General features: G+C 40.2%; 1 protein-coding gene and 2 pseudogenes across 6 annotated transcripts in view, besides 2 other annotated features; 2 read left to right on the forward strand and 1 right to left on the reverse strand.

Moving 5' to 3' along the window:
• The window catches only part of PHF24 (PHD finger protein 24), a 316,938-nt gene that overhangs the window by 250,190 nt on the left and 52,219 nt on the right, over nt 1-14,529 (forward strand). The window lies entirely within an intron of this gene.
• GLULP4 (glutamate-ammonia ligase pseudogene 4) lies at nt 1,249-2,612 on the forward strand (annotated as a pseudogene).
• On the reverse strand, nt 5,391-7,137 carry YWHAZP6 (tyrosine 3-monooxygenase/tryptophan 5-monooxygenase activation protein zeta pseudogene 6; annotated as a pseudogene).
• Nucleotides 10,482-11,003: an enhancer, noted in NCBI's record as "H3K27ac-H3K4me1 hESC enhancer chr9:34926275-34926796 (GRCh37/hg19 assembly coordinates)". NCBI's record gives its function as "activates a minimal SCP1, AML or CMV promoter by ChIP-STARR-seq in primed H9 embryonic stem cells {active_cell/tissue: H9 hESC(primed)}" and the evidence as "EXISTENCE:reporter gene assay evidence [ECO:0000049][PMID:30033119]".
• Nucleotides 11,004-11,524: an enhancer, noted in NCBI's record as "H3K27ac-H3K4me1 hESC enhancer chr9:34926797-34927317 (GRCh37/hg19 assembly coordinates)". NCBI's record gives its function as "activates a minimal SCP1, AML or CMV promoter by ChIP-STARR-seq in primed H9 embryonic stem cells {active_cell/tissue: H9 hESC(primed)}" and the evidence as "EXISTENCE:reporter gene assay evidence [ECO:0000049][PMID:30033119]".

Below are 14,529 nucleotides of genomic sequence, written 5' to 3' on the forward strand. Positions count from 1 at the left end.
TATCCTTGTTATGGTTTGGCTCTGTGTCCCGACCCAAATCTCACCTTGAATTGTAATAATCCCTACATGTCAAGGGTGGGACCAGGTGGAGATAACAGAATCATGGAAGCGGTCCCCCCCCACACCACCCCACCACCAACCCTGGTGCTGTTCTCGTGGTAGTGACTGAGTTCTCACAAAATCAGGTGGTTTTATAAGGGGCTTCTGCCTTCGTTCGGCACTCATTGTCTCTCCTGCTTCCCTGTGAAGAGGTGCCTTCTGCCATGATTGTAAGTTTCCCAAGGCCTCCCCAGCCATGTAGAGTGTCAGTCAATTAAACCTCTTTATAAAGTACCCAGTTTGGGATATTTCTTCATAGCAGCACGAGAACGAACTAATACAATCCTCTATCACTATAAATAGTGTTATGACAATGTGTGATAGGAGCAAAATCTATCATGAATATGTAGTGTCTATTTGAGAAACTTCCCCCTCCCCACCACTTGTGATTCTGGTGGACCTGTCAACTACAGGAGTCTACTCTTTTATCGGGGTAGGAACCCATTGCCCTGGCAACAGTAATTCATCCAAAGGGTGATGATGCTGAGGTGAAATTTGAATCTAATGTAAATGGAGTTATAGAAAAAATAGCTGACCATGAGTGATACCGCCACCCTCTAAGAAACCCTAGATATAAGGTGAGAGGAATGTAGTGAAGACAATCATCTTATAAATGAGGAAAGGATGACCTCATGTTAGAGGAAGTGATGCCAGCAAAAACTTAACATTAAAGTACCTCTCAGAGATATGTCATAACATTGAAAGTACAAAGGATGAAATGTTAGAAGATAATCAAAACTTAGGAGTATGACAATTTGCAAAGGCATAGAAAAGCTGTTCATGCCATATTACAAGTTATACCATGAGAAGGTAAGTGCTATTCATATTTTTCTTGATAAGTGTGTGGTTTGTTTGTGTGGTAAGTTTTTTTGGAGAAGGTAGAAATGTTTTATTAAATCTTAGTTCAGAGAGTGCGTGGGAGCATTATCTCCACTATTACACACTATGCAACTTAAAAAGATAATATTTCAAAGAGAAATACATACTTGCCATGTACACGGACAATAATATTGCAAAAAGAAACGTCCTTGTTTCTTATGCAAATTGTTCCATAATTTTGAAAATTTTTGAATGTCACTGAATTGAGTAAAAAACTTAGAAACTCTTGAATACTAGAATATTCAAAAGTGTGAACACAAATCATGAGGGAGAGTCAAGAGTGGGTGAAGAGCGGAGCGTGTGAGCAGCACAGAGGCCTCCTCTCCTCTCCTCTCCTCACCTCGCTCTCGCGGCCTACCTTTACCGGCCCGTCTGCTCGGCACCCAGAACACCTTCCACCATGACCACCTCAGCATGTTCCCACTTAAATAAAGGCATCAAGCAGGTGTACATATCCCTGCCTCAGGGTGAGAAAGTCCGGGTCATGTATATCTGGATCGATGGTACTGGAAAAGGACTGCACTGCAAGACCTGGACCCTGGACAGTGAGCCCAAGTGTGTGGAAGAGTTGCCTGAGGGGAATTTTGATGGCTCTATAGTACTTTACAGTCTGAAGGCTCCAACAGTGACATGTATCTCGTTCCTGCTGCTATGTTTAAGGACCCTTTCCGTAAGGATCCTAACAAGCTGGTATTGTGTGAAGTTTTCAAGTACAATCGAAAGCCTGCAGAGACCAATTTGAGGCACACCTGTAAACGGATAATCGACGTGATGAGCAACCAGCACCCCTGGTTTGGCATGGAGCAGGAATATACCCTCATGGGGACAAATGGCCACCCCTTTGGTTGGCCTTCCAGTGGCTTCCCGGGGCCTCAGACTCCATATTACTGCAGTGTGGGAGCAGACAGAACCTATGGCAGGGACATCGTGGAGGCTCATTACAGCGCCTGCTTGTATGCTGGAGTCAGGATTGTGGGGACTAATGCCAATCATGCCTCCCCAGTGAGAATTTCAAATTGGACCCTGTGAAGGAATCAGCATGGGAGATCATCTCTGGGTGGCTCGTTTCATCTTGCATCGTGTGTGTGAAGACTTTGGAGTGATAGCAACCTTTGATCCTAAGCCCATTCCTGGGAACTGGAATGGTGCAGGCTGCCATACCAACTTTAGCACCAAGGCCATGTGGGAGGAGAATGGTCTGAAATACACTGGGGAGGCCATCAAGAAATTAAGCAAGCGACACCAGTACCACATCTGTGCCTGTGATCCCAAAGGAGGCCTGGACAAGGCCCGACACCTAACTGGATTCCATGAAACCTCCAACATCAACAACTTTTCTGCTGGTGTAGCCAATCGTAGCGCCAGCATATGCATTCCCTGGACTGTCGGCCAGGAGAAGAAGGGTTACTTTGAAGACCATCACCCCTCTGCCAACTGTGACCCCTTTTCGGTGACAGAAGCCCTCATCCGCACGTGTCTTCTCAATGAAACTGGTGATGAGCCCTTCCAGTACAAAAACTAAGTGGACTAGACCTCCAGCTGTCGAGCCCCTCCTAGTTCTTCATCCCACTCCAACTCTTCCCCCTCTCCCAGTTGTCCCAATTGTAACTCGAAGGGTGAATACCAAGGTCTTTAAAAAAAAAAAAAAATCATGGGGAATTTTTCCTATAATGAAATGATTGAAGCGTTCATACCTATAAAATTTTTCAATGTTGAAAAATAAAAATACTTTTAAAGTGCACCTTCCAAAATGTCTCCCATAAGTAGGTAAGACCAACCTGTATATCTTAAGATATTAGTTAAGAATTTAGAGACAGAGGAAGAAAAATTCTTAGCAGTGGTTATTTTGGTAAGTTTTCTTTAGAAAAACACTTTAAATCTCAATATTTCTAATGTTTTAAATTGCAGTGTACTAAATAAATATTTGTTACTACTTTTTTCACTTCCCTATTCATTATAACCAACAAGAGATATTTTTTACATTTTCATGAAAAAATTTTGAAAGGTCACTAAACAATTGTAGTTTTCCCCGTTGATTATTAAGATCACTTTGCATGATTTCAGCATGAACAGTCCTTATGAGTCCCACACTACTGTGAAAAGTGAGGATTCCTGTGATGGAAATTGAATCAACTTCAGAATCATTTTTGTTGATAAGACCGGTAGTTCTCATGTTATGTTCCCCAAAATCCTGGGTTCCATCAAAGTGTTTCAGAGTTTTCAAACATTTCACAAACGTTTGATTTTAATTTCATTTAAAAAAATTAGCTTATTTCTTAAATTAATAAATTTTATTCTTTAAAATAGTTTTAAGTTTACAGAAAAATTTAGCAGACAGTGCTGAAAGTTCCCATTTTATTATACGTGTTTACTATGATTAGTGAACCAATATTAATACATTTTATTGATATGTAATTGTACATATTAAAGCACATGTGATATTTTGATAAAAGCATACAATGTGTAATGACCAAATTAGGATAATTAGAATGTCTATCACCTAAAACATTTATCATTTCCTTGTATTGGGAACATTTCAAATCTTCTCTTCTAGATATTTTGAAATACACAAAAAATTATTCTTAACTATTGTCACCCTACTGTGCTATCAAACATTAGAACTTATTTCTTCTATCTAACTCTATGTTTGCACCCATTAGCGAACCTCTGTGCATCTCCCCACCCACCCTTTCCAGCCTCTGATAACCATCATTCTACTATCTTCATGAGATCAACTTTTTTTTTAAAATCCATCACCTCAAGCATTTATCATTTCTTTGTGTTCCAAACATTCCAATGATCTCTTTTAGTTATTTTTTAATGTACAATAAATCATTGTTTACTGTAGTCACCCTGTTGTGCTATCAAATACTAGGTCTTATTCATTCTAATTATATTTTTCTTGTACCCAGTAATTACACACACACACACACACATCCCAACCCCTGGTAACCATCATTCTACTCTCTATATCTATGAGTTCAATTATTTTAATTTCTAGTTCTTACAAATGAGTGAGAACATGCAAAGTTTGTCTTTATGTGCCTGACTTATTTCCCTTAACATAATGTCCTCCAGTCCATCCACGCTATTGCAACTGACAGGATCTTGTTCCTTTTATGGGCAGGTAGTACTCCATTGTGTATATGTGCCAACATTTTCTTTATCCATTCATCTGTTGGTGGACACTTAGTTTGGTTCCAAATCTTGGCTATTGTGAATAGTGCTGCAATAAACATGGGAGTGCAGATATCTCTTTGATGATATACTAATTTTCTTTCTTTTGGGCATATACCTAGCAAAGGGATGGCTGAATCATATGGTAGCTCTATTTTTAGTTTTCTGAGGAACCTCCATACAGTTCTCCATAGTGGCTGTACTAATTTACATTCTCACCAACAGTGTAGGAGGGTTTCTTTTTCTGCACATACTTGCCAGCATTCATTATTGCCTGTCTTTTAGATAAAAGCCATTTGAACCAGAATGAGATGATACCTCACTGTAGTTTCAATTTGCATTTTTCTGATGATCAGTGAGTTCACTGTAGATGTATGCATTTGTTTCTGGGTTCTCTGTTCTGTCCCATTGACCTATGTGTCTGTTTTTATGCCAGTACCATGCTCTTTTTGTTACTATAGTTCTGTGATTCCTGCAGTGTTGTGATTCCTCCAGTTTTGTTCTTTTTGCTCAGATGGCTTTAGTTATTCTGGGTCTTTTGTGGTTCCATATGAAATTTAAGATTATTTTTTCTATTTCTTTAAAGAATATCCTCAGTATTTTCATAGGGATTGCATTGAATCTGTAGATTGCTTTAGGAAATATGGACATTTTATCAATATTGATTTTTCCAATCTATGAATATGGAATATCTTTTTATTTTTTGTGTCCTCTTCAATTTCTTGCATCAATGTCAAATAGTTTTCATTATAGAGATTTTTCACTTCTTTGGTTAAGTTTGTTCCTAGATATTTTATTTTATTTGTAATAATGTAAATGGAATTGCTTCCTTGATTTATTTTTCAGATTGTTTGCTGTTAGCATATAGAAATGCTACTGATTTTTGTATGTTGATTTGTACTCTGCCACTTTACTGAATTTGTTTTTCAGTTCTAATAGTTTTGTAGTGAAATCTTTAGGTTTTTGCAAATACAAGATTATATCATCTGCAAACAAGAAAAATTTGACTTTTTCCTTTCTTTGGGTGCCCTTTCTTTCTGTTGTCTGATTGCTCTAGCTAGGAATTTCAGTACTGTGTTGAATAACAGTTAAAGTGAGCTTCCTTGTCTCGTTCCAGAACTTAGAAGAAAGGCTTTCAGTTTTTCCCTGTTCAATATGATTCTAGCTGTGGGTCTGTCATATATGCCTTTTATTTTGTTGAGGTATGTCTCATCTATACCCAGTTGTTTTTTTTTTCCATTCTTAAAACTTTTATTCCATTTACATGAATTTAATACACGTGTTCTTAACAATTATGTTTGAATTGTTCATGAAAATTTCATAAGACATTAAACAAAGGTAGCCATCATCTCAAGTTATTTCCGTGTTAACTATTTTTACAGCACATGCATGTTAGGCAAGTATCAAAAAAAAAAATCACAAAAGCAAAAAACCTAAAAAAAAAGTTAAATACATGGGTTTTTGTTTTACTGCTGTGCTTGATATACATGAAGTAATGAATACCAAGCAATTCATTTTCCCTGCATCTTTACTTTTACATTTGTTCTTAGGTTGCCTAAGACATTTAAATACAAATAAAATGAGTGTAGCAAAAATAATGAAAGCTAACAGCAGGTAACTTTACAAATAATGGAATGTGAACCGTTTCTGCCCTTATCCAGAGTAAAATGGGTCACAGCTTTGTCTAAAGGAACACTTCTGCAGCTATAGTCAAGGGTATGCACATTGAGATTGAGTGTTCCACAGATATACATGGTTTAACATGTGGTATCTGTGGGATATCTGTTTCTACCACAGCCTTGTAAGTGCTCCAAACCTTAAAATACCCACAATTACTACACCTGTGACTGGAACCAATGATCCCTTTTAGTCCCCACCAGGACAAACCAATATGTAGGCAGTTTTCTTTGCTTAGACATGGAAGCAGTTTTAACACTGGCCCTTGTAAAGCCACAATGTACCAAAAGTACTATGCCAAACATTAATAACTTGTATAAAAATTCCACATCCCCATATTGGCCACCTCAAGATGAAAACAGATAACTCCCTAAATGTTAACTGGCTCTACTCCCCTAATATTAAACATAAAAACCACGTGGGAAATATAGAAATTCAAATAGAAGTAACATAAACCTGTCATAAATTGTAAACAACTATTTGTGGGACAGCATGGATGACAAATGGTCTACTGTGTAAATTTTAGAACGAGGCAGACAAAAGTTGGAAGGCCGGTTAATTTTCCCCTCCTTCTCCTGCTTCAGCTTTGTCTCCTCGGGTATCCGATGTCCACAATGTCAAGTTGTCTCTCAGTAATTGCATTATTAGTGTGCTGTCTTTGGATGACTCTTCACTTAATGTATCAAGTTCAGCAATGGCTTCATCAAAAGCTGTCTTTGCAAGAGAGCAGGCTTTCTCTGGGGAATTCAGAACGTCATAATAGAACACGGAGAAGTTAAGGGCCAGACCCAGTCTGATAGGATATGTTGGTTGCATTTCCTTTTTGCTGATTTCAAAAGCTTCTTGGTGTGCTTGTTGTGACTGATCCACAGTCCCTTTCTTATCATCACCAGCGGCAACCTCAGCCAAGTAATGGTAGTGATCTCCTTTCATTTTCAAATAGAAGAATTTGCTCTCGCTTGTGAAGCACTGGGGATCAAGAACTTTTCCAAAAGGGACAGTACATCATTGCAGCTATCTCTTAGCTAGGTCTCAGTTTTCTCTCTGTATTCTTGAGCCATCTGCTGTTTTTTTCTCAGCACCTTCTGTCTTTTGTTCAATACTTGAGACGATGCTCCAAGATGACCTACGGGCTCCTACAACATTTTTATAAGCAACTGAGAGAAGATTCCTCTCCTCATTGGATAATTAAGCTCCTTGCTCAGTTACAGACTTCATGCAGGCTGCCATATCATCATACCACTCAGCCTGCTCGGCCAGTTTGGCCTTCTGAACCAGCTCATTTTTATCCATTACTGGATGTTCCAGCAGTGGTCTCACCTTGTGTCGGCATGGCCTCGCCCCAGTCTACCTGGGGGGTGCTGCTGGGCCGGGCCTGGGCTCCGGCCCGCCTAGACCCAGTTTTTTAAGTTTTGTTTTTGTTTTTTTTTTTTTTTTAATCATGAAGGGATGTTGAATTTTATCAAATGCTTTTTCAGCATCAATTGAAATGATCATATGATTTTTGTCCTTCATTCTGTTGATATGATGTATCACATTGATTAATTTGCATATGTTGAAACATCCTTGCATCCCTAGGATGAATCCCACTTGATCATGATCTTTTTAACTGTTATTGAATTTAGTGTGCTAGTATTTTGTTAAAGATTTTTTGCATCAATGTTCATCAGACATATTGGCCTGTAGTTTTCTTTTTCTGATGTATCTTTGTCTGGTTTTGGTATCAGGATAATACTGGCCTTGTATTTTTTGGAATAGTCTGAGTAGGATTGGTATTAGTCCTTCTTTAAATGTTTGGTAAAATTCAGCAGTGAAGCCATTGGGTCCAGGGCTTTTCTTTGCTGGGAGACTTTTATTATGGCTTTGATCTCATTACTTGTTATTGGCCTACTCAGGTTTTGGGTTTCTTCATGATATAATCTAGGTAGGTTGTATGTATGTAGGAATTTATCTGCTTCTTCTAGGTTTTTCAATTTATTGGCATAGAGTTGCTTATAGTAGTCTGTAATGATCCTCAGAATTTCTACATTATGAGTTGTAATCTCTTTTTCCATCTCTGATTTTGTTTAGGTCTTCCCTCTTTTTTCCTGGTTAGTCTAACTAAAGGTTTGTCCATTTTGTTTATCTTTTAAAAAAACAATTTTTCATTTCATTGATTTTTTATATTGTTTTCATTTTTATTTATTTCTGCTTTGATCTTTATTACTTTTTTCTTCTAATTTTGAGTTTGGTTTGCCCTTTTCTAGGTTTTTAGATGCATCATTAGTTTGTTTATTTGAAGTTTTTTTTACTTTTTTTGATGTAGGCACTTATTGCTATAAATTTTCCTCTTAGCACTGCTTTTAGATTATCCCATAGATTTTGGTATGTTGTTTCCATTATGGTTTGTTTTAAGAAAATTTGCAATTTCATTCTTAATCTCTCCATTGACCCACTAGTCATTCAAGAGCATATTGTTTAATTTCCATGTGCTTGTATAGTTTTTTAAATTCCTTTTATTATTTCTAGTTTTATTCCATTTTGGTCATAGAAGATACTTGATATTATTTCAGTTTTCCTGAAATTTTTAAGACTTCTTTTGTGGCCTAATATATGGGCTGTCCTTGAGAATGTTCCATGTGCTGAGGAGAAGAATGTGTATTCTGCAGCCATTGGATGAAATGTTCTGTAAATTTTGATTAGGTCCTTTTGTTTCTTTGTTGATCTTCTGTCTAGATAAACCTGTCCAAGTCTGAAAGTGGGGTGTTGAAGTCTCCAGCTATTATTGTATAAGGGTCTATCTCTCTAGCTGTAATAATATTTGCTTTATATATCTGGGTACTCCAGTGTTGGCTGCATATACATTAATACTTGTTACATACCCTTGCTGAATTGACCCCTTTTTCAACATATAATATGACCGTTTGTGTTTCTTTTTATGGTTTTTGTCTTGAAATGTATTTTAGCTGATATTAGTATAGCTACTCCTGCTCTTTTTTGGTTTCCATTTGCATGGATTATCTTTTTCCATTCCTTTATTTTCAGTCTATTTGTGTCTTTATAGGTGAAGTGTGTTTCTTGTAGGCAGCAGATAGTTGGGTTTGGTTTTTTATCCATTCAGTCACTCCATGTCTTTTGATTGGAGAGTTTAGTCCATTTACATTCAATGTTGTTATTGATAAGTAAGGACTGCTGCCATTTTGTTATTTGTTTTCTGGTTGTTTTGTATATCTTTTGTTCCTTACCACCTCTCTTATTGTTTATTTTTGCAGTTGGGTGGTTTTCTGTAGTGCTAAGCTTTGATTCCTTTCTCTTTCTTCTTTGTATATTGGCTCTACCTGTGAGTTTTATAGTTTCACATGTTTTCTTGATAATGGTAATCATCTTTTCAATTCCAGATGTAGGACTCCCTTGAGCATGTCTTGTAAGGCCTAGTGGTAATGAATTCCTTTCATTTTTGCTTGTCTATGAAAGATTTTATTTCTCCCTCATTTCTGAATAATAGCTTTGCTGGCTATAATATTCTTGACTAGCAGGATTTTTTTATTTCAGTATTTTGAATATATCATCCCATTCACTCCTCACTCACCTGGCTTGTAAGGCTTCTGCTGAGAAATCCGCTGTTAGTGGGGCCCCTTATATGTGACTTGACATTTTTTATTGCTGTTTTTAGAATTATTTGTCTTTGGCTTTTTACAATTTGACTATAATGTTCCTCAGAGAGAACCTGTTTGGGTTGAATCTACTTGCAATTCTTTGAGCTTCCTGGACTTAAACGTCTATTTCTCTTCCAAGACATGGGAAGTTTTCTGCTATTATTTCATTAAATATATTTTCCTCATCTTTCCCCTTCTCTTCTACTTCAGGAACACCCATAATACAAATACTTGTTTGCTTTATAGTGTGCCAAAAATTTAGTAGGCTTTCTTCTTTCTTCTGCTTGGTCTAGTCTATTATTGAAGTTGTGGATTGTATTTTTAATTTCATTCATTGACTTTTTTAGCTCTAGGATTTCTGTTTGACTCTTTTGTATGATATCTATCTCTTGTTGAAGTTCTTATTCAAATTATCAATTGTTTTCCTGATTTCATTGAATTGTCTATCTGTATTTTTCTTGTATCTCAATCCATTTCCTTAAGGTTGTTATTTTGAATTCTTTTTTCTGGAATTTCATCTACTTCCTCAAGATTGGGGCCTGTTACTAGAGAATTGTCTTTTTCCTTTAGAGGTGACATGTTTTCTTGCTTTGTCATGATTGTGTGTTCCTATGTTGATTTATATGCCTTTGGTGGAAAAATCACCTCTTCCAATTTTATGGAGTAGGTTTCATAAGAAAAGACTTGTTTATATGAATGGGACCTGGGGTGTTGGTTCATGGGGTGTACTGGCCTTGGTTTTAGGAAGATACAGTAGTGTAATGTAACCTCCATGTAGTTTCTTCAGCCATTATCCACACTAGTGGCATTTGGCCATTTCTCAGTGGCCTAGTCTGAAATAATTTGTGGCAATGGTGGTGCAACTTTGCCAGGGCTGGGTTCACTGGCCTGTTTCTCAGGTCAGAGGCATGTGTGTGCATATGGTGAGTTGGCCAACTTGGGATCTGGCTCACTGGGGCTGGGGCCATGGGGCTATTACTCTGTCCAGGAGCATGAGTTATTTGGCCACCCTGGGGACATGCCTGCCAGAAGTGGCTCACAGAGCTGTTTCTCGAAGGCCTAGGACATGGGTGTAAGGCTGCTCAGCTGACCTGGAGGAATGCCCACCAGAGAGGCCAGCAGGGCTGTCTCTTAGGCCTGGTATATGGGTGCATAGCTGCTTGGCTGGCCTAGGGATACACCTGATGGGGTGATTCATGGGACATTTTCTCAGGCCCAGGACACAGCTGCACAACTGCTTGACTGGCCTGGGGGTGTTTCTGCAGTGGGTGGCCCACAGGGTTGTTTTGTAGGTCTGAGATGTAAGCACAGGGCTATTTGATTGGCCTGCAGGTATGCCCACCAGAGGTGGCCTGTGGGGCTGTTTTTGGGGCCTGAGACATGGGTGCACACCTGCTGTGTTGGCGTAGGAGACAGGTCTGGGGGCAGGCACAGGGTTGTTGCTCAGGCTCATGACACAGCTTCGTGGCTGCTCAGTTGACCTGGGGATACTTCTGCTGGAGATGGCCCACAGGGCTGTTTCTTAGGCCTGGTATGCAGGCACATGGCTTCCTGGCCAGCCCAGGGCATGTTCACTAGTGGTGGCCCACAGAGCTGTTTCTCAAGTCCTGGATGTGGGCTCTTGGCTGCTTAGCTGGTTTGGGGTCGTGCCTACCGGGGGCAGCCTGAAGGAGTATTTCCCAGGTCTTTATGGGAAATGCAGGGCCATTAGGCAGGCCAGGGGCATGTCTGCAGAGGCAGGGGTGCTGTGGGGCTGTTTCTCCGGTCCTGAGCATGGGAGCATAGCCACTCCACTGGCCTGGGTGCATATTAGCTACTAGGAGGCTCAGGGGCCTCTCTCTCTTGTGGGAGGGTGCAGAGCAGTTTGGCCAGCTCAAGGCAGGTTGGCCCTGGGCAGGACTGGCAGACTGTTCATCTGGCTGGAAGTGCAGTAAGCAGGGGTTTGTTTTCTTGCTGTGCAGGACCAGAGTCACAGCTGATCCTAGGCCCAAGCTCTGTGCAGCTGACGTATGGCATTCAGCCAACCGTGTGGTGTGGGCTTGGCATAATGAGGATGGAGCGCCCCAGTGCTGGAGATATGCAGTGGCTACCGGCCCCCAGAACAGGGTGTGCTTCAGAGTTTGCTCTTTTCTCAAGATGGCATTATGCTGCAGCAGCTTGGCCCACAGGGAGTGGGATGGGGGGAATGGGGAGTGCACACCTTGCTCTCCTAATCTGGAGCAATGTAGCTGCTTGCATACCCAGCAGCTCTTCAAACTGGGCTCAGGGCTTGGGAAGACCGTAGGATTCTTCTGTAATAAGGACTGTAGGTTTTTGCAGTGCCAGTGGGGGCTGGTGGAGATCTTGTGCTTACCTTTTCCCTGCAATAAGAAGTCCTTCCTGACTCTGGGCACATCCAATCCAGGTGGGGGAGACAGGGCTATAGAGGCCCAGTGCTTCCTCGCTGCCCTCCTGGATTTCTGATCACCACAGGTGCATCTCCACTCCCCCACCACACTCCACCACTCTCCCTTCCACACTCCAGTCAAACCTTAGTTTGTTTATTCATTGTGTTGGGCCTTTCTTGTGGGATAGATGAATACCAGGCATCTCTATCCAGCCATCTTGCCAATGTCACTATTGAAGGATTTTAAGCAGAGGTGTGACTTCATGAAACTTATGTTTTAAAACATTAATGAGTTGGGAGCTGGGGGGAGGTGGGGATAGTTAATGGATATAGAAAAATAGCTAGAATTAATAAGATCTACCTTTGGACCTGCCTGGCCAACATGGTGAAACCTTGCCTCTACTAAAAATACAAAAATTAGCCAGGCATGGTGGAGAGTGCCTGTAATCCCAGCTACTTGGGAGGCTGAGACAGGAGAGTCGCTTGAACCCAGGAGGTGAAGGTTGCAGTAAGCTGAAATCACGCCATTGCACTCCAGCCTGGGCAACAAGAGTGAGACTCTGTCTCAAAAAAAAAAAAAAAAAAATCTACTCTTTGACGGCACAACAGGATGACTATAGCCAATAATAATTGTACATTTAAAAATAACTAAAAGAGTATAATTGGATTGTTTGTAACACAAAGGATAAATACTTAAGGGATAGATACCCCATTCTCCATGATGTGATTATTATGCATTGCTTGCCTGTATCAAAACATCTCATGTACCCCATAAATATATACACCTATATACCCACAAAAATTAAAAATTTTTTTAAAACCCACTAATGAGTCAACAAAGTTTATGCTTCTGCTTTGTGGCAAAAAAGACTCTCCTGAGCTAAACCTTTCCTATCAGGCCAGTCTTTTTTTCATTCTCCCTCCATCTTTTCATGTGTGATAGTCTCTTCCTGGTAAGCATTAATTCAAAGTTCAGCCCTTATAGAATTGTTCTTCCCCTCTCCCTTCTCCTATGGGAGCACAGTGTCTGTATAAGGGAAAGTTTACTGCTCTTCCCTGGGTACAGCTGGTCTATGTGTTGCCATTTTCTGCTGGACTCCAATTGAGATGTATCATCCAGCTTATCTCTAATCCATCCCTGTCCATTAACTTCTGTCCTAGAATCCACTTGGGATGGACAAACAAACACTACCACCAGAACTCTGGAAGCACCAAACTCCATTACTGCTCTCATCTCAGTAGTCCAGGAGTCCCTTGGTCTTGCAGTCCTCTTGGTACCCTGGGGCTACACAGGAACTTTTGAATCGCTTCTAGATACAGACCACTGGGAACCCAGCATGATTTCAGCAGCACTCCCTAGACACTTGCCTTCACAGATGCTGTGCTATAGCCCACTCTTCCCTCCCCCACCTCCATGTCAAACATAGAGCTTCTCTGAGGCTTGTACCCTGTCACCAAGATCAAAGGATCTCAGGTCACCCTTCTCCCTATCTGAATATTTCTATTGCATCATCCCACCTCCATACTCCCACTGTCAATGAAAAGTGCTTCTTTTTATTTCACCTCCTCTGGAGGGAGTTTCCCCTTTATCATATGCTCCTTTTGTTTGTTAGGTGGGGACCATTTTGATGGAATGGCAGCAGGGGAATATGATTGGATTTTTTAAATATGATTTGGGTTAGGGTGTCTGTGAAAAAAATCCACATCAATCTATTATCAAACTATTATCTCCATTTAAATTATTTGCTTATGGTCTGTCTCCACCAGAACAAACTCCACAAGGGTGGGACTCCCTTTTCTGTTCTCTTTACTGCTACATCTCCAGCACCTAGCACAGGGTCTATTACTCAATAAATATTTGTGGGGAAAAAAATGAAGGGATGAGATGAGCAAACTAATGAATGATGAGTGATCTTATTCTATTAGTACTGGGATCTGTTGAAGAATTTAGAGCAGAGGATTAAAGCAATCAGATTTGCAGGTAATCAAATATCGTTAAGCTGTGAGAGTCACCATAAGCAGCAATCTGTATTGTCGCCCCCTACAGCCCCGCCATGTAACAGCTATTAGCTCAAGCACACATACTGCCGTGGGAGAATTCACTGCTGCAAGTATTCAAATTTGTGATCAGCCTCCTGAGAAGAGTTGAAGAGAGATCACAAACCTAAGATGGCCTCCCCGACTCTTCATCCTCTTTTTTCCCCTACTGTTTCTCCCTAACACTGTGGTCCTTTAGTCCCCTGAAGAAGCTTTACATTGTAACCCTTTCAGAGAATTTCAGCGAGATCTGGATACCCAGCCCACTCTGCTATTATATTTGCATTTCATGCTTAATTTGTCTATAACATTACAACTTTTATACTCCTACATTTCTGCTGTTATAATCATAAAGAATACTATTTTGGGGCTTCTCTTTTGCAAGTGAAATTAGCATTTCCACGTAAAATAGAGAAGAAAAATTGTTGATCATCTCCCTAAAATGTCTGGGGCTTCATCCAAGCCTGAAGTTTAATTTCTCAGTGTCTGGGAGGAGCCACTGGTTTGTGCAGGTTTCTCAGTGTACTTAAGTGGTGCCGAGACTCATGCTTCGGGTCTCTTGTGTCGGGGATAACCTGGTTGACTCTTCCTTTGGTAAAAGAGAAGGAACGTGAGATAAGACATCCCATTTGGGTGTGT

The sequence above is a fragment of the Homo sapiens genome, chromosome 9 (genome assembly GCF_000001405.40).
Source record: "Homo sapiens chromosome 9, GRCh38.p14 Primary Assembly".
In the NCBI taxonomy this organism is placed as follows: Eukaryota; Metazoa; Chordata; class Mammalia; order Primates; family Hominidae; genus Homo; species Homo sapiens.